The sequence below is a fragment of the Homo sapiens genome, chromosome 6, assembly GCF_000001405.40.
Source record: "Homo sapiens chromosome 6, GRCh38.p14 Primary Assembly".
Taxonomy (NCBI): domain Eukaryota; kingdom Metazoa; phylum Chordata; class Mammalia; order Primates; family Hominidae; genus Homo; species Homo sapiens.
This window is the reverse complement of record NC_000006.12, coordinates 29,565,433-29,581,504: the sequence shown is the minus strand read 5'-3', so window position 1 is coordinate 29,581,504 and position 16,072 is coordinate 29,565,433. Positions and strand designations below refer to the sequence as shown.

Genomic DNA, 16,072 nt, shown 5'->3' with positions numbered 1-16,072 from the left:
TTCCTCTTCTCCAGGGTAGAGAATGCTTGGTTGTCCTATTTAGGATCTAGAGGAAACATATTCCACACTCATGGGAATACCACATGGAACAGTTTACTAGCGACTGACTGAAGCCCAGAGCAGACCTGGGGTCCGCAGCTGTTCTAAGCTGTCATATCAGCCGTGTGGTAGTGCTTTGGTCATGTGACTCAATAGACTCTGGGGCACTAAAGGTATCAGTGGTGGGAAAAGATACAGTGTGGCATTTTGGGCAAGCCTTGAAAGGAAAATCACAACATAGATCCCTGGGGTTCTTCATCAAATCTATGCTGTCTGCTGCAGGAAAGTAAACCCCATTAGGAAACAAGTCCTAGCTTGCTCTTGGGCCTTACTAGAGACAGAGCTCCTGATCATGAGACATCAAATGGCTATTAGGCTACAACTGTCCATCATGAGCTGGGTCCTGTCAAATCAATCAAGTGATGAGGTCTAGTGGTTGCAACATCATCAGTTGTAAGAGAGAAGTCGTATATCCTGCATCAGTCATGGGCAGAACTGGAGGGTAAATGCAAGGTGCTGAAGTGGGGGGCCCAGATTCCCATGTCCTCCACGCTGTGGCCTTGGTACTTCCCAACTTGCTCATACCAGTGGCTCATGGGAGTGTTCTAGTTATTTATTGCTGCATAACAAAGTCTCCCCAAATTTAATGGCTTAAATGAACACAAACCTTATTGTATCTCACATGTTGTGGGCCAAGAATTTGGAACGAAATTGGCTGGGTTTCCTTATATTCCATGTTGCATCAGCTGGGATCCCTTGGAAGTATTCAGCTGGCAGATGGACTGCTCTAGAGGGTCCGAGACAGCTTCACTCACATGCCTGGCACCTTGGTGGGTTCACTGTAAGTTTGGGCTCATTTTCTCTGTCTTCATGCTATCTCAGGGCCTTTCTACATGGTCTGCCCAGCATGATAGACTTTTTACTTGGAAATTCAGGACTCCAGGATAGCAAGGAGGAACAGCCAGTTCTCTTACAGGCTGGCCCCAGAGCTGGCATGGTGTCACTTCTGCCACGCTGTTTTTGTCAAAACAGTCATAGACTAGCACAGATTCAAGGGGAGGGGAAATAGATAGCCCTCCTGATGGGATGATTGTCCGATAGTTTGCAGCCATCTTTAATCTGTCATGGGGGGGGAGGGGTACTTTATGATTGGCTAATGGAGGAAAAATAAGATGACCTTGGTTCATGGATGTATCTGCTCAACACATTGGTGTGAGCTGAAAATGGACTGCTGCTGCATTATAGCCACACTCAAGAGTAGTTCTGGAAGACAGTAGAAATTGTAAATCTTCCCAATGGGCAAAGCTTTGAGTAGTGCACCTGATTATCTATTTTGTGTAGAAAGAATAATGGCCTAATGGAAGAATATTTGTGAATACATGGGCAGTGGCAAATGGCTTGGTTGGTTGGTCAAGTGCTTGGAAGGAGGAGGTTTAGAAGATGAAGAACAATGAAATTTGAGGAAGAGGCACTTGGATAGGTTTATGAAAATGGGAAATCTTTTTATTTATGAAATTGGGAAAATTGTGAATATCTTTGTGTTACATGCTAATGCCCACTAGAAAGCATCCACAATAGAAGAGGCTCTAAACCTCTTCTAAACCAAGTAAACAGTGACTATAGGCCAGTTCACACTAAGCAGTCTTCTCCACAGGCCACCCTAGTGCTGGTAAAAATGGACTTATGAAGGCAGTAACTATGGTGGCAGGATGCAGGTCTGTATGTGTTCAACAGCATGGCTTTCACTCACCAACACTGATCTAACTCCTGCAGCTACTGAACGTCCGGCCTGCCAGAAACATGCAAATGCTGCCCTTGATATGGCACTATATCCTGGGCATGAGTTTGCAGGTCCAGGATTCAAATTGGATGCTGCGCAATGCGAAAGGGCTCTGTGTATTTGTAGAAAACCCCCAAACTGACCATTTTCTCCTACTATATTCTCAACATTCAACACTTCTAGTCACCAAAACATGTTCGTTTTTATTTTATTTTATTTTGTTTTGTTTTATTTTATTATTTTTTGAGATGGAAGTCTTGCTCTGTTGCCCAGGTTGGAGTGCAGTAGCGCGATCTCGGCTCACTGCAAGCTCTGCCTCCTGGGTTCATGCCATTCTCCTGCCTCAGCCTCCCGAGTAGCTGGGACTACAGGCATCTGCCACCATGCCTGGCTGATTTTTTGTATTTTTAGTAGAGACGGGGTTTCACCTTGTTAGCCAGGATGGTCTTGATCTCCTGACCTTGTGATCCGCCCGCCTCAGCCTCCCAAAGTGCTGGGATTACAGGGCTGAGCCACCACGCCCGGCCAACATGTTGGTTTTTCTTCCAGACTGACCAATACATTCTTCAGTGGACACCAACTTGGTGTCCTATAATTCAATTCAATTCACTTCTGACATTATTCACCTGGAGATACAGTGAGATCCCACAGGTTAAAGGATCCCATAAGGCTGCTCCCCACTTCAGATGCCAATCACAAGTCCAAGCTTCTGGAACTTCTGACCTACTGGGAACCCTACTGGGGGTTCCCACAATCCCCTCCTTGGGTTTGATGATTTATTAGAGCAGTTCACAGAATACATGAAAGCTCTTTAGTTCAATTTACCAGTTTATTATAGAGGATATTCCAAAGGATACAAATGAACAACAAAATAGAAGAGATGTACAGGAAAAGGTGTGTGGGAAGGGTTACAGAGCTTCTGGGGCATGCTGCCCTCTCAGCATTTCTGTGTGTGCACCAGCCTGGAAGTTCTCGGAGCTCTGTAGTTCAGGGATTTTTGTGGAGGCTTCATCAAATAGATATAGTTGATTATTAACTCAATGTCTAGCCACTCTCGATTTTCTGGAAGATGAGGGTAGAGCTGAAAGTTTCAAACTTCTAATCATGGCTTGGTCCTTCTAGTCAGAGTCCCCATTCAGGGGTCCCCCAAGGGGTCACCTCATTAGAACAAAAGATGCTCCTGTTACCCAGGAAATTCCAAGGGATTAGAGCTCAATGTTAGGAACTGACATATTTGGTCAAAGACCAAATATTAGAACAAAAGACTCTCCTAGCACCCCTATTGCTCAGGGAATTACAAGGGCCTTAGGAACTCTGTGCCAGGAACTGGGATCAAAGGCCAAATATGTATATCTTATTATATCACAATATTACAGCCTCTTGGCCACCGCATTATTCTGCAGCCCATGACTGCAATAGCTTTTTGGATTATATTCAGATGCTTTTCACATGTGGCGATAGACTCAAGTACCATACTCAGTGATGACCTCAGAATTACATGTCATTTTGCTATGAGTCTCTCCCAAGTTTAGCTTTTTGAAAAATCTTTTGGTTTCATATTATATTATGGGATATATTAGCAATCTCTGATAGTTTTGTGGCATATTAAATATTCATGGATGAAGCAGCTTTGGGAGTCGATAATGGATAGGGTGTTTATAACTAACCTAATTTAAATTTTATTCTAGTTACTACATTACTATGGCTATTTTGCCTGGCAATTAATGAAGAGCACTGGAACTGATTCTTACTGGGGCATAAACTTGTAGCCACTTCTGCCTTGAACCTATTAACTGCTTAAAATTTACACACACACACACACATACACACAATTTATTTTGAATATGTAAAGCACACACAGCTGTAACATTTAAAAGACAGGCAAAAATATAAAGTGAAAAGCAGATTTCTCTTCCATGTCTGCTCTTCTTCAAGTTACTGCTGTCGATGATGTCATAGGGCTCACTAGCTCCAGAAACAGCTTCTTCTGCAGGAACCTGGGAGGCTTCCAAGACACAAAGGGATTTTACTTCCTGCTGAACGACGTTGGTGATGGCTTTCTTGACTCCTCTAGACCTTGCGACCGCCGGATCCCAGTTGGCGTAATCTGCCACAGTCTTTGGAAGGAGCAGGCATCATGGGCCCAGAGCTTGAGCCGATTTCTTCTCCTCGACACGGCGCTCTTGTCTAGGGGAGGCTGGCACAGAGGTCTGCAACCATGGGCCAGCTCCGCCCTGCTCTGCTGTTAGCCCACGCTGGAGGCCAATGCTTTCGTGAGGACGCAGGCCCTAGGATTTCTTTCTGTAAATATAGTCTATCCTCCATTCCCACAGGTTCTGCATCCACAAGCAAACATGAATTGAAAATACAATATTCTCAGGATGCTAAACTCATGGATGTGAGAACCGACTTTTTGTATTTGTGAGTTCTGCAAGGTCAACTTTGGGACTTCAGCATCTGCAGATTTTGGTATCTGAGGGGTGTCCTGGAACTAATTCCCTGGGGATACTGAGGGGTGACTGTAATAAATATTCATTACATACCTACTGTGCCAGATACTATGCCAGGCACTAAGAGTATAAGGATAAGTGAGCCAAAACCCTGACCCTCACTTTCCTTACTGTGTACTTTGAGAGGCAGACAATTAAAAAGATCCTGTTACTTCATGGGAAGTGCTTTTTGTTGGTGGTAGAGAGGAGCTGGAGGGGAGAGTCTTCCAAAGAGAGGGAGGAGCACGTTCAAAGGCTAAAGGTGGCAGAGAGCCTGGTGTGGTTCATACACTTGCACTTGCAGGTAGTTGTGTGAACTTGCAGGATTCTAGGTGGTTGAGCCTTAGGAGGTGGGGATGGTAAAGTCTGGAAAACAGGAACCCGATCTAGGAGTTTGGGCTCCACATTTTATTGCAGGGGGATTCTATATATTATTTTTGGCTAAGGGAGTAACATATTCAAATTTGTATTTTGGAATGATTACTCTGGTTCAACATGGATAATCAATTTCAATCGGTCAAGACTGGAGGCAAAGAGCCAGTTAGTAGTCATTCATATCATCCACCAAATATTTCTGGTTCCCTTTCCTGCCACATGATTGGTTTATTTCCCCTCACCTTGAAGTTATATGTAGCCATGAGATTTGCTTTGGCAAATGACCAATGAGTCAAAGTGTTATGCCACTTCCGATTGGAAACTAAGTGCTAGTTTGCCATTTGTCATGCTTATTATTTCCTCCTTTCCCAGCACCTAGGAGTGTTTGAGATGGTGGGTGTTCTGTCAGTCCACATCTTTGGGTGAAGATGACAAGGCAGAACCTCTGGTTGGATGACAATGGGCATGCAGCAGCAGCAAGAAATAAACCTATGCTGTTTCAAGTCACTGAGGATTGGTATTGTTATCACAGCATAACCTCTTTCCTGACAGGAAAGAGGAGAGAATGGTTCAGTTCTAAACAGATTTTTCCATCACACTCTCCATTCCATTCATGTGAGGCTTTGAGAATGTAATGAATGTAGATCAACTTGAAAAAGGAAATAAGATTTCATAGAAGTTGGGGCTTACACTGCTGCTCCCTTTTTTCTGAGGCCCTTGCTCCATCCAGGCTCCATTGCAGCACTTTATTACTTACAATTGGATTTCATGTTTGTGCCTGGCTAGTAGAGGTTGGTCAGAATTTCAGAACTGCACTAGAAAATGGATGCAGGACAGCTGTTAGCACTGTGTAGCCACTGAAGAGCAGACTCACAACTCCTCATGGTCACTGTCATGCAGAGGTTGAGAAGAGGTAAAGGAAAATCATCTCCAGGAATGGGAGCACATTTTCAGGATTTGGCAGGAGATTAGTGTTGTGATCCCTGGAAAGCTGGATGATCAGAAAACTTACTAGGACTGGAAAAATAGAGTTTTCTGCCTGATAACCCATTTGGGTATAAATCCTAATGATGTTGGTATATTTATAATGGTGTAAAACCAACAGCATGCACTTGGTAAGTTAACAGATATGCATCTCAATTTAGGTCTAACAAATTGCTGTGTGTTCTTGGGTGAAATTACTAAATTCTCTGAGTGTCAGCTTCCTGTCAGTCCACCTCAAGCAAGTGGAGATGAACCATCCTGATGACAAAGGAAAGAAGACATTGTCAGAATCAGAAGTGGCTGGGTGATGTGGCTCACTCCTATAATCCCAGCACTTTGGGAGGCCGAGGCGGGTGGATCACCTGAGGTCAGGAGTTCGAGACCAGCCTGGCCAACATGGTGAAACCCCGTCTCTACTAAAAATAAAAAATTAGCTGGGCATGGTGGCATGTGCCTGTAGTCCCAGCTACTCAGGAAGCTGGGGCAGAAGAATCACTTGAACCCAGGAGGCGGAGGTTGCAGGGAGCCAAGATCGCACCACTGCACTCCAGCCTGGGCGACAGAGTGAGACTCCATCTCAAAAAAAAAAAAAAAAAAAAAAAAGAATCACAAGTGATGGTAAAATGATGATGATAATGTAACAATCGGAGAGGGGTTACATAACCAGAAATAGGCATGGTGCATTTGGAGAACCTGTAGGGGAGAAGAGAGTTAAAAACCAAATTGAAAAGAAAATAAAAATATAGAAATTAAATATTAAAAATGGGCAGGTATGATAATCTTTTTGAGCTTTAGATGTTAATTAAAGATACCTACCTCCTCTTACCTGACTCTTAGTCTTTCTCTGTCTCTTTCTCTCTCTCACACACACTCATATACTGTGACCCATTGTAAACACTGTGATGGGTGTATGAAAGGTAGTATACTTGGGAGCTCAAACTTGTTCACAAAAGGATAAATAATTTCTTCTTAATTTAGAAAGCACATTAAACAGCTCTCCCTCAACTTTGTATGAGCCCCATTTCCTTCGCCAGCAATCTCCTGAATGCCCTGGTTACCTCCTTGTTCCTCAGGGTGTATATGAGAGGGTTAAGTGAAGGAGTGCCCACTGCATAGAAGAGACCAAAGAACTTGCCCCTCTCTTGGGCATAGGGATTTTTGGGCTGGAGGTAGACAGCAATGACTGAGCTGTAGAAGAGGGTGACCACAGTGAGATGGGAGGAGCAGGTCCCAAAAGCTTTCCTCTGCCCTTTTGCAGTTAGTCCTTAGCACTGCCCAGGCAATGGCTCCATAAGAGACAAGGATGAGGCTGAGGCACAGCCAAGATGAAGACACTGGCAACAGCCATCTGGATCTCATTGTAGGAGGTGTCTTCACAGGAGAGTCGAATTAGAGCTGGGACCTCACAGACAAAATCATCCACCTGCTGATGGGGGCAGAAAGGCAGGCGCAGGGTGGATGGTGTCTGGACCACTGACTCTACCAGCCCAATGACCCAGGCCACAGATGCCAGCTGCCAGCACAGGCAGAGGTGGACGATGGTGGCATGGCGCAGGGGCTTGAAGATAGCCATGTAGCGGTCAAAGGCCATCACCGTCAGGAGGATGCACTCAGTGGTCCCCAGGGACAGGAAGATGAAGAACTGGACAGAGCAGCCCAGTAAGATGATGGTCTTCTTTGGCTCCCAGAGGTTGACCAGCATCCCGGGGACACAACTTATGGTGAAACAGAGGTCCAAGAAGGAGAGGTTGGAGAGGAAAAAGTACATTGGAGAGTGGAGCCTGGGGTCCAGCACAGACAGCAGGATGATGAGTCCACCGGGGTTAGGAGGTAGGAAGTGAAGACAACTACAAAGAGAGTCCTTTCCAGTGCTGGGTGTTCAGAGAAGCCCAGAAGGAGAAAGCCTGGTGCGGAGCTTTGGTTAACCATGGCCTGTTCCTCTCTGTATCTGGAAGGATGAGGCTGTCACCCCAGTGTGATTCAACCTGTCTTATTAAAACTCAGCCTGGGTGTTTGTGAGGTCCCAGTAGGTGAGTGTTTCTCTTTTGTCTCTGCTCGCCCAGCGTTCCTTTCCCAGTCTCATCACCATCAAGCAGCTCCTTCTCATCCCCTGTTCCTTCTGATCAAACATTGTCTAGTGGGAGTGAGGAAACCATTAATGTGCTCAACAACGGATTGAGCCTCACACTGGTGCCTCTGACTTCCTGGTTGAATGCAAAACGTCTGATGTGAAGCATAGATCAGCTAACTAGTTAGTTTTTATTAATTTTGCAAAAATTTATTAAGTACCTATTATGTTCTGATCGCTATGCTACTACTGAATTTTCCCTTTGTTATGTGTGGAAGGAAATACAAAGAAATGTGTGTTCAGTGAGTTTCCTAATTGTAAACATTACTAGAGAATTCATCATGTTTTCTAGTGGTGGGCATAAATTTTCTCAAATCATTCACATTCTATCTACTTTACACTTTTGCAAGAGATTTGACCAGTGATAGAAATGTGGACTGTGGAGATTTCTTCTGTATGTGAAATGACTCAACTGCTAGAAAGATCAGTCAGGTGATTTAGGTCTTTCAAAAAAAATTATGACTTATTAAACTAAGAACAAACATTTCTCCTGCAAATGAAATGTCCTGCCTAAATTTTCCATTATGTGTAATATGTAAAAATAAGAAAAAATATAATGTCAGTCAGAAAGATTATTTTCTGGTTCTGTAACTGCAAAAAAATCCTGAAGAATTGATGTTTGGTGTTAGAAAGCTGAAATAGATTTCAATATCCTCTCCTTTTCATGTAAGATAAAATATAGTAGTAAAAACATACCATGTTGAGTTTGGGACATGTAAGTAGAATTTTGCTTTTGAAAATGCTCGGTTAATTTTATTCACATGCAATTAAAAACCTTTGATTTTGAAATAAGTTGAAACTTACAGAAAAGTTGCAAGTGTAGTTCCAAGAACTTCTATATAACCTTTATCAAATTCATCAATTTTTAGTATTTTTACTCATTTTCACTATCATTATACTCAATATGTTTATGTATTTTCATTTTTACTCTGAGTCACTTGGGAATAACTTGTGGACATCATGCCTCTTTCTCCTTATTGTCTTAGTATTCATATTCTACAACAAGATGATCTTAATTAACACTGTACAGCAATTAAATTCAATAAACTTAAAATTGATACAGTATTGTTATGTAACACACAGTCCATATTCTTATTTTCTCTATGTCCCAATAATGTTCTTTGTAGGATTTTTTTTTTTCCACGTAGGATCCAGTTGAGAGTCACATATTGTACTTAGATGTCAGGTCTGACTTTATCCTCTTTAGTAGCCTATCCTAAGTCACTGAAGTAAGGAGTCTACTTCAAATTATTGAACAATGTGGTCATTCAAGGCGGAGGAGCTTATGGGCTGGAAGAAAGAGTAGTCTCATGGCTTTGAAAAACCCTGGGTAGTACATTCAACATCAGCAGAAAACTTGAAACATTGCAGGCAAATAAGGCAAAAATATTGGGGTAGGGGGCTAGAGGTGAGAGATAGATCTGTAAAGAAAATGAGTAGGGTGGTTGAGTGAATCAGGGAATGCTTCCTGGAGGAGGGGACTGTGTTTTTGAGAAGGTGAAGAGAGTTTCAGCACACAGGGCCAACTCAGATATGGGTGGACGGTGGCAGCCACTCTGGCAGTTGAGAGGCAGGAACTGGGCAAGTTGATGGGGAGGTGGCTGGAGAGGCTATAGGTTGGCAGCATCTACCCATTGCAGTGTCTCTTTTTTGTGTGTTTAAAAGCCCCATCTCATCTTTTTATTTGTTCAACCTGTTTATATTTGTCTCTTTTTTCGTTTCCTTCCTCCTATATTCTTTTTACTCTGAGAAAAATTTTTCCTTTAAAATATTGTTGAATATTTTAACAAAAGATTGTTTAAATCTTAAAAGCCTTCTGCGTGCCCTTCCCTAATCATACCTACTACCTACTCCTGAAGACGCAATGACTATTTCAATTATTACTTTTACAAAATCATTCCTATATTGTCTTATAACATTACACCCTTTGTGTTGGTAAAAAATAGCCAACTCCTCCTTATTTATCTGTCAACCATCATTCTAATACACTTTCTGCATCCCTCTCTTACACTCTTATACTCTTGGTAATTCATTGCTTCACTCTATGTCATTTTTCAGTCTCTTCAATTTACATAGTTCTTTGACTCTCTTTCTGTTCTCTCTTGTTCTGTGTTTCACAACGTGTATTTGTTCTCACTCTCTTTCTTCTGGTCTTTTTAATTTTTCTTGGACACCCACAAAAGTCCAGTACAACTTTACTCTCTTCCTATTAATTTCATATTCACGGATGTATTTATTTCTTTATTAATCACCAAAGACCTAGTTGTGTACTAGGTGCTACAAGGGAATGAAATATCAATTCTTTTCTCCAATTCATTAGTGAAAACCACGTTAATACTTTGGCAGCTACCATCTGTTGTGTGCTTCCTATACACCAGGCACCATGCTAAACATTTCCTGAATACCTGGTTCTCATAACTCTTTGAGGTAGTTAATATCATCTTCCTTTTACAGAAGAAGAAATGGTCGCAGAGAGGTTAAGTAGCTTGCCCAAGGTTACATAGCCGATGAAGACCAGGCCTGGAGTCTGAGTCCTGTTTGATTCCAAATCTGGTGCTCCTGGGGTAGCTCTACCATTGACGATATGTGGACATTAATGGACAGTAGGAGAAGAATAAACTTATAACTTTTCCTCAATCATGTCACAATCTCCCCATTGCCTGCTGCCGGAGCTTCTCCCTGACAACGAGCTTCTAGACTGAGTGAGCCTCTAGTTAATCCTCACAATGAAATCTACAAGCAAAGTCAGGAGTGTTGGGCACCTTTGAAAGGGTGGTGGATTAGGGCTCAGGTAGTAATGTTGACTTCTAATGCTGCTGCCACACCTTTCAAAGCACTTCACAACCTCTGTATGACCTGGATAATATTTCTATATTCTATATTTATTTTCAGATGAAGAAACTAAAACATAGGTTAAATAATTAGCTCAGAATTATATAGCCAGAGCTGAGACTTGAACCCAGGTGGGTTGGCTCTAGAGTCAGGCACAAACTATACCCCACCACCATCCTTCTTCTGGACCTGTAAGGCTGAAGGTTGCTCTTTGCCCACAACCTCTCCTCTTCAACCTAGTAAGTTAACCTGTCTTTTAATGGTAGTGGAGATAGAGAAGAAAACGTGGTGAAGTGATGGAGGGAGGGATCCCGGGACTCCCATCCCATGGAGAGAAATGGCTTGTTAATTCTCCCAAGACTCCAGAGCGTCACAGTTCACAGACAATTAATTAGCCACTGGTGCTAATGATGATTAAGAAAGAAGGAGATGATTCAGAGGAAACGTGCCAGCATTGGTGCTCCCTGTGGTAAGTAAAAAGGTCACTTCTGCTCCTCTGTGTCATTGAGGAGCACAAGGTCATGTTTTCTCATTGCCACCTCTCCTGAGTGTGTCCCATTCTTTTCTCTCAAGTCTCATTTGAACCCATGTAAGACTTCGTTATTTCTTGTTTCTTCTCTACTGGTAGACATTTGGATATAATTTACATGCAATAAAATGCACAGATTTGAAATATACGCTTTGATGAATTTTGATGACTTCAATGAAGAAACAGAAGATTTCCATCATCCTACAAACCTTCCACTTGCCTCTTTCCTTGATACTTAGTTTTGCCTCTTCTAGGACTTCATACAAATGGAATAATATATACTCCTTTGAGTAAGAATTATTTCACTAGGAGTAATTATTTTGCAATTTATTCATGTTGTTTCAAGTATCAGTAGCTCATTTCTGCTTTTAAAATCAACTTCAGTCTGGGCATGGTGGCTCACATCTGTAATCCCAGCACTTTAAGAGGCCAAGAGGAATGGATCACCTGAGCCCAGGAGTTCGAGACCAGTCTGGGCAACATAGCAAGACCTTGTCTCTACGAAAAGTACAAAAACTTAGCCGGGTGTGGTGGCCTTCATCTGTAGTCCCAGCTCCTTGGGGGGCTGAGCTGGGAAGATAACCTGCGCCTAGGAGATTGAGGCTGCAGTGAGCTGTGATCATGCCACTGCACTCTAGCCTGGGTGACAGAGTCAGACCTTGTCTCAAAAAAACATAAAATAAAATAAACTTCTTTAAGATAGAATTTACATGTAATAAAATGCACACATTTTAAGTATATTGTTCAATATACTTAGGAGGTCAAGGCTGTAGGGAGCCGTGATTGCACCACTGCACTACTGCACTCCAGCCTGGGTGACAGAGTGAGACCCTGTCTCAAAAAAAAAAAAAAAAAAAAAGCAAGCAAGCAAGCATTCATACATTCATACCACCTGATTTCATTGACATAACTTTCCTACAACAGGAAAAGCAAATCTAGCAAGATAGAAATCAGATGATTGGTTGTCTGGGACAGGGCATAGGATAACTTTCTAGAATAATGAAAATGCATGCTCTATATCTTGAATGGGGTATTGGTTATCCAAGTGTATGCACTTGTCAAAACTTATTGAACAATATACTTAAAATGTGTGCATTTTATTACCCGTAATTTGTACTTCAATGAAATTTACTTTTTTTATGTTTTTTGAGACAAGGTGTTACTTTGTCACCCAGGCTAGAGTGCAGTGGTGTGATCACAGTTCACTGCAGCCTCAACCTCCTGGACTCAACCCCCCAAGTAGCTGGGATTACAGGTGCAGGCCACCACACGCGGCTAAGTTTTGTACTTTTTGTAGAGACAGGGTCTCGCTGTGTTGCCCAGACTGGTCTCGAATTCTTGGGCTCAAGTGATTCACCCACCTTGGACTCCCAAAATGCTAGAATTACAGGCATGAGCCACCATGCCTAGCTTCATGCCTTATTTCTGGCTTCTGTTATCTGGCTTGTTATGGAAATTCATTCATAGTGTTTCATATATTAGTAATTTGCTCCTTTTTATTGCTAATAGTATTTCACTGTATAAATATACCACAGTTTATCCATTCATGCATTGATGGGCATTTGGGTTGTTTCTAGTTTTGGGCTGCTATGAAAGAAGCCACAATTGTTGGGTATGGTGGCTCACACCTGTAATCCCAGAACTTTGGGAGGCCAAGGTGGGAGGATACTTGAGCCCAGGAGTTTGAGACCAGCCTGGGAAACATGATATAACCCTGTCTCTACAAAATAATACAAAATATTGGCCGGGCATCGTGGTGCATCCTGTAGTCTCAGCTACTTGGGGGGCTGAGGTGGGAGGATCACTTGAGCCCAGGAAGTTGAGGCTGCAGTGAGCCATGATCATGCCACTGCACAACAGCCTGGGTCCGAAAAAAAGAAGAAGAAGAAGAAGAAGAAGAAGAAGAAGAAGAAGAAGAAGAAGAAGAAGAAGAAGAGGAAGAGGAAGAGGAAGAGGAAGAGGAAGAAGAAGAAGAAGAAGAAGAAGGAGAGAACAGTTAGTTGTGTTGTATATGGTTCTTCGTTCTTTGTGTGAACACATGTGTTCTTTATTTTGGGTAAATACCTAGAATTGGAATTTCTGAGTCATTTGCTGTCTGTTTATCTTTATAAGAAACTGCTAAACTGCTTTCCAGAGTGATTGTGCCATTTACACTCCCTACAGCGATGAGAGTTCCAGATGTTCCACATCCTTGGTAATACTTGGAATTGTCAGTCTCTTGGTTTTAGGCATTCTATCGGCTGTGAAGTGCTCCCTCAAGTCGTTTCAATTTGCTCTGTGATGGTTAATGGTGTTAAACATCTTATCATGTGCTTTATTGGTCCTTACGTGTCTTTTATTCAAATTATTTTTCATTTTTTTAACTGTGTTGTCTTATTAAAACTGTAGTCATATCTTATAATAATATAAGTAACATAATAAGTATTTATGGTAATACTTTGAGATTATGCAAGTATCTTTTTCTCATTATAGTTTTGCCTACTAATTTTAGCATCCACAAATGAGTTTTGACTGTAACAATTACTATTGGGCTGTTTGCCTAATGATAACTTTCATCATTTCTCCTATGTTTGTTATTTTGAATTTTGTAAGAGCTGTCCCTCTCCTCCTATTCGTTTACTGTTTATTTTCTTTATTCATATCCAGTAATGACTCCTGGATGTTTATTTTATTCTTTCTTCATTATTCTCATTATTTACTTTGCTGTTTACATTTTCCCAGACTTGGCTATGGGGAAATCCTTTAACGTGATTACTGTGAGTTTTTTGATGTGTCCTCATTTTTTTTTTTAATGACTTCTTTAGTTTCTGGCATCATACAGTATTCCAGGGTTATCTTGTATGTTCTCTTTCCTCTGTCTGGGATCAACCATCTCTCCAAGGACTCCTGGTTCTTTTTACCAGAAAGTCGTATACAGCTGACCCTTGAACAATGCGTGGGTTAGAGGTGCTGACCCCCTCATACATTTGGAAATCCATGAATAACTTTTGACTCCCCTAAACCTTAACTACTAATAAACTACTGTTAACCAGAAGCCTTACTGATCATATATACAGTTGACTGACACATATTTTGTATGTTGTATGTATTATATACTGTATTCTTACAATAACATGAGCCAGAGAAAAGAAAATGTTATTAAGAAAATTATAAGGAAGAGAAAATACACTGACAGTACAATACCGTATTTATCAATTATGTAAGTTTGTGTCATCTGTTAAGAGATGAAACATCAGTCAGAAATGGCAGGAAACTGCAGCAGCAGACCTCAATCTATAGCACATATCAAGCAATTCAACTTTTTCCTGTAATGTTATGGCTTTTCTCTGTCTCCAGGGAAAACTTCCAGCATCACTATATGGGTCTCGTGGTGTTATTCAGGCTTTATGGAATTGCACTAAACACAATTAAAAATACACAAGATCCTGGGCGCGGTGGCACACCTGTAATCCCAGCACTTTGGGAGGCCGAGGGGGGTGGATCACTTGAGGTCAGGAGTTCAAGACCAGCCTGGCCGTCTTGAACCAAAGAACGTTTCTACTAAAAATACAAAAATTAGCCAGGCGTGGTGGTGCATGCCTCTAATCCCAGCTACTTGGGAGGCTGAGGCAGGATAATCACTTGAACCCGGGAGGCAGAGGTTGCAGTGAGCTGAGATCGTGCCACTGCACTCCAGCCTGGACGACAGAGCAAAACTCTGTAATAAACAAACAAACAAAACAAAAACAGGACAACCGCAAGAACCGTGAGACATCACTTTTTCCTAAAGAGAAGACGAACTGCTTACGTGGGAATGATTAGTATTACATGACATTTTAATCCCATACTCCCAACACTTGAGCTCACCCAATAGTAACAGGAGGTGGCTACATAATTATTATAGTAAGACAGAATGTACTATGACTAATTTTACGCAGTTATGATTTAATACTGTATTTTATGATTGTTTATAAGTATTTGTGTGTGAGTTTTAATAAATTTTAACTTTTTATAATAGATTTGTGTATATTTTATAGTAAATGATAAAGTATGCTAGTATCTACGTATGTTTTATGCATTTATGATATGTCTAATTGTTTCTTAATTATTTTGATGTTTCTAAGCTATGAAGTTTGCGAGTTTTTTCAAATTGTCACAAAGGTACAAAATTTTCCAGTATATTTACTGAAAAAAATCTACATTCAATGGACCCATGCAGTTCAAACCCTTGTTGTTCAAGGGTCAACGATATTGTATTTTTCAGTTCCAGCATTTCTGTTTGGCTTTTTAAAATGGCAGTTTCTACATCTGTCTCCTAAAATTCATCATTTCTTTACCCATTGTATAAATCTTTCCCTGTGGATTCTTTAAAATACTATAGTGATTTTAAAGTCTCCATCTGATAATTCTAACATTTCGGTGGCGTTTGGGTTTGTTTTTATTGAGGATTTAAAACTGTTTGTCTAATATTTCTGTTTCTTCACATGATTGGTGATTTCCTGTTTTACACTTGATGATGTGAGTAATATGTTACAGAGATTCCGTATTCTATTACCTTTATCTATTTTGTATTCTATTATCTTTCTCTGAAGCGTATTGAATCTTGTTTAATAAGCAGATATATTACCCACTTATCACTTTGAACTTCTGAAAAACTGGCTTTACATTTTGCTGGAATGGATCATTGCAGTTTTTTCTTGGTTCTAGGGTGAACTCCTTAAGCCTTGGTTGTCATTTTGACTTCTAAGATCTGGTCCTTTTGGGGTTTTAGTTAAAGGCACATTATTTTCAGATGTCTGTTAATGGTAGCAGAGCCTAATCCTAAGTGAAATCCGAAATCCCCAGCTGACAAAAGAAAGTACCAAATAACTTGCATGAGAAGTAGGAGGCAGAGCCTGGATTCACTCCAAGATGGCCTGACTGCTACAAAGTGGAAA

The 16,072-nt window shown here is 41.3% G+C and overlaps 2 pseudogenes, besides 1 other annotated feature; both read right to left on the bottom strand.

The window, feature by feature from the left end:
• Nucleotides 3,757–4,046, bottom strand: TMEM183AP1 (TMEM183A pseudogene 1; annotated as a pseudogene).
• OR2H5P (olfactory receptor family 2 subfamily H member 5 pseudogene) lies at nt 6,854–7,432 on the bottom strand (annotated as a pseudogene).
• Nucleotides 7,177–7,436: a silencer, noted in NCBI's record as "fragment chr6:29541846-29542105 (GRCh37/hg19 assembly coordinates)". NCBI's record gives its function as "represses an EF-1alpha promoter that drives an FKBP-Casp9 reporter gene in an ReSE screen in phorbol 12-myristate 13-acetate-treated (for megakaryocytic differentiation) K562 erythroleukemia cells {active_cell/tissue: K562(+PMA)}" and the evidence as "EXISTENCE:reporter gene assay evidence [ECO:0000049][PMID:32094911]".